Consider the following 9,420-nt stretch of genomic DNA (forward strand, 5'->3'; position numbering starts at 1 on the left):
TTCAACAGATACCAGTAACATGTTCTTTTACCTTCCCAGCCTCCAGAATCATGAGTCAAATAAAATTCTGTTCTTTATTAATTACCAGTCTGTGATATTCTGTTATAACAGCCAAAAGAGACTAAAGCAGACAGAGTGGATAAATGAAACTTTTAAACCTCGTAATATGCTGCTTACAAGAGACTCAATTATGAATTAAGAGCATAGGCTAAAAGTGAAAGGATAGAAAATGATATTCCATGCAAATAATAGCCAAAGGAGTTCAATGGTAGTTATGCTTAAATTAGACAAAATAGACTTTCTAGCAATGTCTCTCACAAGCATGAAATGAGTTTACCATACAATAATAATAGAGGTTAATTTGTCAAGTGAATATAGCTATATATATTTATGCACCCAAAAGGGAGGCTTCTAAATATAAAAAGCAAATATGGGCAGAACTGTAGGGAGAAGTAGAAAGAAATCCAATAATAGAAAACTTTAATGAAATGTATAATAAAGGACAAATAGTTAACAGCATTGTGAATTTGCAAGGGAAAGCTGTTCTCCTGTGTTGCATTTGAGAATGCAGCAAAGAAAGTGGGAACTGATAATTTTACCACAAGCCTGAGTTAGGCTGAAAAACAGGGTGGTCGATTAGAGGTTCCACTTGCCATATATTAAAAAAACACAGGAGAAAACCAGTCCTCCTCTGGAGTGTTAAAATAATTAAAGAGCAGAAAATTAGACTAAAGTGGCTCTAGTGTCCTGGGTTCATAGGTTAAAAAAAAAAAAACAAAAACTAAAACCTAACTCAAATACATTTCCTATAAAGCATTATCTTAGCCTGAAACAAAATGCACGTTTAACCAATGGCAAACATGCAATTAACCTCTGAATATGTAACCAGGACATTTCCATCTGGATAGTTCAAATAAGGTGACTACATAACTGGAACCAATTTTTGAATTTGGGCTGCTTTCTCATGCATCTTATGAAAGCCTTTCCTTTATGCCCCTCTGGTGGACCAGAAATCATGGCTGGGTGCTTTCCATTTCACCAATCACTGTTTGTTCAGATAAACTGGTTAACGTTTTAACATAGACTCCCGTTAATTTTTAACAAGAGAGACTGGGGACCCCACGGGCCGCAGCTCCTCCCACGCAAACACCCAGTGGCAGTTTTTCCCTGATGACCCACCAGGCCTCCCTGAACAATCTGGGAAATACTCATGGCTGTGGGCGCAGAGCAGGGCGCTGCCCAGGGACAGCACCGGATGGGCCAGGCCGGATGTGGGGGTCCTCGATGCTGGCCCAGCGGCCATCTTGCAGCCACAGGGGACTGAGGGCCAAGCTGCGGGAGACTCGGAGCTAACCGTGGGGGCCGGTCCTGCCGGTTTCACAGCCTGCTCTCCCCTCTCGGGATGCCGAACCCCGTATACTCACCATTTCCCAGCTTCCAGGATGTCCTGTCATCTTAACTGTGCGTCCCCAAGGACCTACAGATCACAGGGCAACAGGGGCTGTGAAAGAGTAGCCCGGGGCTCCCAAAGCGGAGGAGGCGAAAGAGGAGACGGATCCCAAGTTCCTGTGCCAGCGCCAGCGAGAGACAAAGACCCGCCAAACGCCAGAAGCCACGCCCTCCTCTCCTGTCCTCTCCAACTGCGCGCCTGATTGGGCTGTTCCCACATCAGTGTCAATGACTGGATAAAACTCCAGGACTCACCCACCCCCGCCTGACTCCTGCCCCTACCCCCACTCCCCCTCAGCCTTAGTGCATTTTTGTTAGTTTGTTTTACTTTAAGTTCTGGAATACATGTGCAGAACGTGCAGGTTTGTTACATAGGTTTACATGTGCCATGGTGGTTTGCTGCTTCTATCAACCTGACGTCTAGGATTTAAGCCCCATATGCATTAGGTATTTGTCCTAATTTTCTCCCTCCCCTTGACCTCAACACCCTAACAGGCCCCAGTGTGTGATGTTTTGTTCCCGGTGTCCATGTGTTCTCATTGTTCAACTCCCACATATGAGTGAGAACATACGGTGTTCTGTTTCCTGTTCCCGTGTTAGTTTGCTGAAGAGAATGGTTTCCAGTGTCATTCACGTCCCTGCAAAGGACATGAACTCATTCTTTTTATGGCTGAATATTATTTCATGGTGTATATGTGCCACATTTTCTTTTTCCAGTCTATCAATGATGGGCATTAGGTTGGTTCCAAGTCTTTGTTATTGTAAACAGTGCTGCAATAGATATATGAGTGCATGTGTCTTTATGCTAGAATGATTTATATTCCTTTGGGTATATAACCAGTAATGAGATTGCTGGGTCAAATGGTATTTCTGGTTCTAGATACTTAGGGAATCACCACACTGTCTTCCATAATGGTTGAAGTAATTTACACTCCCGCCCCCAGCAGTGTAAAAGCGTTTCTATTTCTCCATAGCCTCATCAGCATCTGTTGTTCCTGACATTTTAATAACTGCCATTCCAAATGGTGTGAGATGGTATCCCATTGTGGTTTTGATTTGCATTTCTCTAATCATCAGTGATGATGAGCTTTTTTCTTTTTCCTTTTTGTGTGTTTGTTGACCACATAAATGTCTTCTTCTTCTTCTTCTTCTTCTTCTTCTTCTTCTTCTTCTTCTTCTTCTTCTTCTTCTTCTTCCTCTTCTTCTTCTCCTTCTTCCTTTTCTTTTTATTTATTTTATTTATTATTATTTTAAAGACGGAGTCTAGCTCTGTCACCCAGGCTGGAGTGCAGTGGCAGGATCTCAGCTCACTGCAACATCTGCCACCCAGGTTCAAGTGATTCTCCTGCCTTATCCTCCCAAGAAGCTGGAATCACAGCCACCCGCCAAAACACCATGCTAATTTTTTGTGTTTTTAGTAGAGACATGGTTTCACCATGTTGCCCAGGCTAGTCTTGAACACCTGACCTCATGATCCACCTGCCTCCATGGCTGAAAGTCCTGGGATTACAGGCTTGATCAACCACGCCCAGCCAAATGTCTTCTTTTGAGAATAGTCTGTTCATATTCTTTACTCACTTTTTGATGTTTTTTTTGTGTGTGTGTGTGAAATTAAGTTCCTTGTAGATTCTGGATATTAGACCTCTGACACATGGATAGATTGCAAAAATTTTCTGTCATTCTGTAGGTTGCCTGGTCACTCTGATGATAGATTCTTTTGCTGTGCAGAAGCTCGTTAGTTTAATTAGATCTCATTTGTCAATTTTAGCTTTTGTTGTGATTGCTTTTGGTATTTTATTCCTGAAGTCTTTGCTCATGCCTATGTCCTGAATGGTATTGCCTAGGTTTTCTTCTAGGGTTTTTGTGGTTTGGTGTTTTATATTTAAGACTTTAATCCATCTTGAGATAATGTTTGTATAAGGTGTAAAGAAGGGGTCCAGTTTCTGTTTTCTGAATGTGGCTAGCCAGTTCTTTCAGCACCATTTGGTAAGTAGTAAATCTTTCTCCATTGCTTGTTTTTGTCAGGTTTGTTAGAGATCAGATGGTTGTAGATGTGTGATGTTATTACTGAGGCCTCTGTTCTGTTCCATTGGTCTATATATCTGTTTTGGTATTAGTACTGTGCTGTTTTGGTTACTGCAGCCTTGTAGTATAGTTTGAAGTCGGGTAGCAAGATGCCCCAAGCTTTGGTGTTTTTGCTTAGGATTGTTTTGGGTTGACAGGCACACAGGCTCGTATAGTTGGGGTCACCTGCCCAGAGTATCACAGCTAATTAAGAAGTGAGCTGAGACTTGAAATGCACATGCTCCTTCCCTTACCTGGGTCTGTTGTATAATGCATCTTAGCAGCTATTTAACAGTAGGAATTAGAACATTTGGACATCTTTTTAACAACTTTTTAACCTGCATTTTGATAATGCAGGAAAGACCTTCATCCCGTCCCTGAGCCCCTCTCTCACCACGCTACATCCCACTGCTGACCACATTGTAGGGTAGCCATTAGGAATCAGGCGGGCAGTGGGGGCTGGGAATAAATAAGCAAGGATTATGCTGCCCAAATTTGCTCATCTTAGAAAGTCTCCTCAACCATTCTGTGTGAAGTGATTATTCCAGGGTAATTGTGGCCTGACTGCGCTGGATGTCAGTGTGACTTGTCTTTTTGAAAATCACTGGATTACTCTCATGAACGGGGGTATTTCTCTTTCTATTTGAAAACGGCCAACTGTCCTCTGCAGGTGTCCTGATTTGCTAGTTTAGACCCTGAAGGTAGCGGTGAGAAAATATTTGGGCCACAACAGAATACCTATTCTCAGCTGGAAGATATATAGAAATTTCTTAATAATATCTAACCATTTTCTCAATAACCATTATATTTAACATTGATAGCTTGGAGGGCAGGGAAGGACACAGATGACACAATCTTCAAAGTTTATTTATAAGTTTTTTTTTTTTGTTCTTGTTTAGTTTTGCTTAGTTTTTGGATACAAGGTCTTGTTCTGGTGCCCAGGGTGGAGGGCAGTGGCATAATGATAACTCATAATTTGGTTGTAACGGTTCTTTAAAATATATTTTTGCTGAGAGTGCTAGCTCACACCTGTAATCTAAACACTTTGGGTGGTCAAGGTGGGATTATCGCTTGATCCCAGGAGTGCAAGACGAGTCTGAGCAACATAAGTAGGCTCAGTCTCTAGAAAAATATTTAAAAATTGTCTGGGTGTAGCTTTGCATGCCTGTAGTCCCAGCTACTTGAGAGGCTGATTTGAAAGCATCACTGGAGCCTAAGAATTTGAAGATGCAGTGACCCATGATTCAGCCACTGCATTGACAGAGTGAGATATGTGTGTGTGTGTCTGTGTGTGTGTATAAAGAATTTGTATGTGAAAAAAATTCAAGCACAGGATAAAAGTGAAAGCCCACGGTGGGGGATGTGGAGAAAGGTCACTGTGGCTCCAGCAACTCAGTGAGACTTGGTTTTCCATCTTGAAGAATTGCCCATCCACACTGACACCATAGCCTAACATATGCCAGTTCTCACACTACACCTGCTGGGATACCAGTATGTAGCCTTTTGAAAAAAATAAAATCTTTCACCTAAGAGAAGGACAAGAGAAAACGAGGGTTTCACATCTAAAGCCTTCATTTTCTTTATGAATCAACAGCCACTTGTCATTTGAATTGTCCAGAGGCGACTGACAGCACCAATACACTTAATGAATCAACCAGGAAAAATGGGCCTCTCAGGTGAGGAGGAGGCACAATGGTCACAAAACCCAATCCGTTCTCAGCTTTGCATGGTGCTCGCATCTCAAGAAGTGGTGTTAGCCATGTGAACCGTGTTCACTGGACAAGGCCAGAGGAAAGAATATTTAGTACAACACAACTATGGGGCTGCAAATCAAACTGGTAGTGAGAGCATGCATGAGGCTTCAGTGGCCGAGACACTGGTGGCTACCCTTCGGTGTCACTTAAACCTTTGAGGTGAAGGACATCTTTTTTCCCAACTGGCTCAGAGAAACCAATCAACATTAAAATTGAGATTTGTTTTTCTTTTCAAAATTTCTAAGACACAGAGGACTCTAACACTCCAAAAGACATTCAGATATTCTTGCAGCTGAGGACTTGACTGCTCTGTAGAGGGATGGCAGAGCAGCAGCCACCAGCTTTAAGAGCTTTAAGCTCCTCCTCTTATAGGGAAAGGCCACCCCCACACAACCCCCATAACTTCATAGGCTCTGGCTGTTAGGTGCACCTGGGGGACTGTCTTCCTCCCATCTCATTAGCTCTCCAAGACAGTTCAGCTCAATCTAAAACCTACCCTAAGATGGCGGTATGTAGACTCTCCTCCATTCTCCCAGCGCAGTGTGACTTCTGGAGAGTGCTCCCCCATCGTCTTACCTCAAATGATGTGAAAAGAGCTGGTTCCCGGGTAGTTAGATGTTCAGTGACCTAACAGGCCCAGCATGCGCAGGGCCTGGCCCCACAGCCTGGCACCTCTCTCCTACCTGGCCTTCACTTCGGCCTTTTCTCTTCTGTCACCAATGTCAGGTGATGGTCACCAGTGCCACACTCTCATGAGCTTGGTAAGTAGCAGGGGTGTAAACCCCAACAGATTTCCTGTGACTCTACCCTCTTACCTCCCACTCAAGTGACATTATAAGCATAATTTTATATTTGATCTAATTTATGCATAACCTTTTTATAACATTTCTGACAACAGCCCACACAACCACATGAGTCTGGGTTACAGAACACACGGGCGAGGCTCGGGTAGCAGGTTTCACTTACTTTATTCCAATGTGAAATGAAGATTGATGATTTAAAAACAAGACAAAGTTGTTTATCAGCTGTGGGGTGGCTACACTTGCTATCTCATGCTCACTTCCTTTGAAACAAGGTATCTGGACAGACCATATTCATAAGTAAGACTTCGCAAAACCTCAGACAGAAGTTCCAGTCAGACACAGCTCCCTCAGGCTCACAGGGTGGCAACCGCCTCCATGTTAGGCTCTGACAGCAGGCAAGGAAAGGAGCACAGGCAGCAGGGGACAGGGAGGGTCCGGGACTGTAGGGATCCCCAAATGCCCCAGAGCTATTCTCTGTAGAAGGGCACACGCAGGTCTCACTGTGTCAGTGCAGTGGCTGAATCATGGGTCACTGCAGCCTCAATCTCTTAGGCTCCAGTGATGCTTTCACCTCAGCCTCTCAAGTAGCTGTATGGCAAAAAGCCTCCTACTTTTTACTTAAAACCTGGACTTTAAGCCAGGTTGGGCCTGGGAATAGTGGCAGCAAAAGCAGCAGCCAAATGTATACACTTCAGATGTCTACACTCATGGGCACAGGCATATTCCACACTTGCTGGAACACGAGATGCCTGAGAGGCACCTGTTTCCCAGCTACTAACTGATGTCCACACACCCCATTCACGTGTCTTCATTTAGGTTTCTGCATCGTATATTTGCTCAGCCAGTGCAAACACATCTTCTAGGGGGCAACATTAATTGCAGCACCTGCCCCACTTGTTCTGGGAGGGAGTCAAGAGGAATCTGGTCAGCTCCTAATCCCCCAGGACAAAGGTGATGCCCTCTTTTCAGGACTTACATCCAGCAGCGTCATCTCGGGATGGGTTTTTCAAACACAAGCAGCATGAGGTAGCAAGCATGGTGTGACAGGCTCAGGGCCATGGGCAGCCGGCTTCTGGAGAAGCAGCACAGGGCAGGCACATCTGTGGGTGGCACCATGACAAGCCAAGACAGCCTCAGCCCGTAATCCCAACAGCTCCAGCCCAGATGGCATTCAAATTTTCCCGGATAGTATTGGGGTGCCCGATGCCCATCACTCGCCCTCTCATTAGCACGGCCTTGTTGGTTACTCAGGGACTAAGGAGAGAGAGTGGGGGATGTAGATCCAGGGTGGGCACTGCCTCACAGCCAGAGTCCACCTGACTGCAGGCCAGCAAGCAAGCCCAAGCAGCTCAGCTCTAGTCACCTCTGGCTGCACTTTTTATGTGTAATTTACACAAAGGCAGCAAAAGGAGGTCAACATTAGCTGTTGTGACATGAAAGTCTATGCCCCATTAAGACCTTAAAATGCTATTGTCTTAAGCTATCTTTATTCTAATAAAATTTATACAAATAAACACATACAAGGTGAACTACTATAAAGGAAATATTAGGATTTTTTAAACCCATAAACAGACATGTAAACAGTCACTGTTTGATTGCAGAGAAAGTGAGCTTCTAAAGCAGCTGACCACAAAACAGCCTCACCAAACCCCAGGCAGGCCAGGCAGTCTGAACACTACAAGGCCACGTGATGGTCACAGAGGATGACAGCTCCCGTGAGTATTGCAAGGCACTGTGTTAGCTTCTCACTCACAGTCTCAGAATACCCTGTGAGGGGAGGCCCCGTCTCACTAGAGCACAGGAGGTTCCTGAGCTCTTCCCAGAAAATGGTCATCAAACGATGGAGCAGGGGGAAGCCCAGACAGAACAAGTGAGTCCCTAGGGTCTCCTTAACCTCCCTCAGCTCCTCCACATGGGTTCCTGAGGGAAAGTGAGCAGTCTCCTAACCCCTTTGTTAGGGTTCCAGTCCTGCAGGTCTGGACTCTCTCATTTTATGCTACCATAGGGGATGACAATGCAACCCCAGGCTCCTTTTTTGCCATCCCTCAATGCCAGGCCAGGCCCAGAGCCGTTTGCTGACACAGCCCAGGGGATGCTCAAGGCCCACCTCGGCACAGTCACCTGTAGTGTACTGAGATGAGCAAGGAGGTGCAAGTAGACACAAATCCCCATGGGCTTGGCCTCAGCTATGTTCCACAGGCTCAGGGCCTCGCAGAAGAGCTCACAGCCCTCCTTCAGGAAGCCTGCAGATCACACCCTCAGGGAGCAGTGCTCAGATGAGCAGGCAGGCCCCACATCCCCCACCCCATGACGCTCTGTTCCACTTTGCAGGCTTCTGCATTGGCCAGTCCCCACTGCTTTCTGGTGAGATGTCCGAGTTGAAGTGAGTGTTGAATGCCACACAGCTGATGGAGCTCACTGCCTTGCACATGTTGTAAAACACCTCCTGGTTACAAGGGTCAGCTGTGGAGACACAGCTTGATGGGAGGTAGGCCCACTCCACCATCAGTAGTGCTGGGTTGCCCTGATCTGCACCTTCCAGATACTTGCTGAGATATCTGCATGCTTCTCTAAGGGACTGGGTCACGAGACACCCCTGGCAAGGACCAGCTGGCAGAACAGGCTGGACACTCTCCTTCAGCCTCCCCAGCAGCCCTACCTGTGCTGTCATCTGTGCTGATGATCTCCGTGGTAAGATTATGGGAAACTTTTACAGCAAGTTTTCCTTTCTCACTTCCCTATCTTAATAACAGCACTGATAACTTTTAAGCCCTAGAAAGCTGGAACTGCAAGACACATGATCTTCTGCCTTAGAAGGTCCATGTTTGGGCAGTGTGTGCCCAGGTGAGAGCCCCATGGTTGTTAGTGGAAGCCGGGAGCTGGATGGGCCTGGCCCCATAGCCTAGTGAAAAGTGGGACCCTCTCCTTCCAGAGCATGGAAGTCTCAGAGGCTGGAAAAAGGTGCCTGAGTGGCCTGCCAAAAAGCATAAGGCTAGAAGGGCTGGAAGGAACCCCAACAGTCTTCAAGGTGCCTGAGAGGGCTGGGCTCATTCCAGCTTTCTTTGCTTTCATCCTGATAGCAAGAAAACCTGCTCACACATGGCAGGCGGGCCTGAGGCTACCATTCCCTCATCAGGGGCTATAGGCACTTTAATGTGGCTCTTTCTTGAAGCAGCTGCTCAGGCCGGTTCTCGAAGAGAAGTTCCCTCATTATCCACAGGTTCTTGTTCCAGCCCCGTGTCTGCAGAGGGACTAGGGAGGGAGAAAATCTCTCAGCCTGTGCCCCACAACCTGCTCTGAGATATCTCTTTTGTTACTTCCTCACGGACAGCATCAAACTTCCAAATGAA

General features: G+C 45.9%; 2 long non-coding RNA genes across 12 annotated transcripts in view; one reads left to right on the forward strand and one right to left on the reverse strand.

The window, feature by feature from the left end:
* The window catches only part of LOC389831 (uncharacterized), a 43,798-nt gene extending 42,156 nt beyond the window's left edge, over positions 1-1,642 (reverse strand). For all 11 annotated transcript variants that reach the window (NR_144628.2, NR_187195.1, NR_187194.1 and 8 more), the window contains exon 1: positions 1,425-1,642. This is a non-coding gene — a long non-coding RNA (uncharacterized LOC389831). The remainder of the gene's footprint in view (positions 1-1,424) is intronic.
* Positions 1,643-7,683: 6,041 nt separating this feature from the next.
* On the forward strand, positions 7,684-8,800 carry LOC105379275 (uncharacterized). Its single transcript, XR_949094.4, has 3 exons — positions 7,684-7,785; positions 8,402-8,558; positions 8,646-8,800. It is a non-coding gene; the product is annotated as an uncharacterized LOC105379275 (long non-coding RNA).
* The last annotated feature ends 620 nt before the right edge of the window (positions 8,801-9,420 follow it).

This window comes from Homo sapiens, unplaced genomic scaffold (genome assembly GCF_000001405.40).
Source record: "Homo sapiens unplaced genomic scaffold, GRCh38.p14 Primary Assembly HSCHRUN_RANDOM_CTG1".
NCBI lineage: Eukaryota > Metazoa > Chordata > Mammalia > Primates > Hominidae > Homo > Homo sapiens.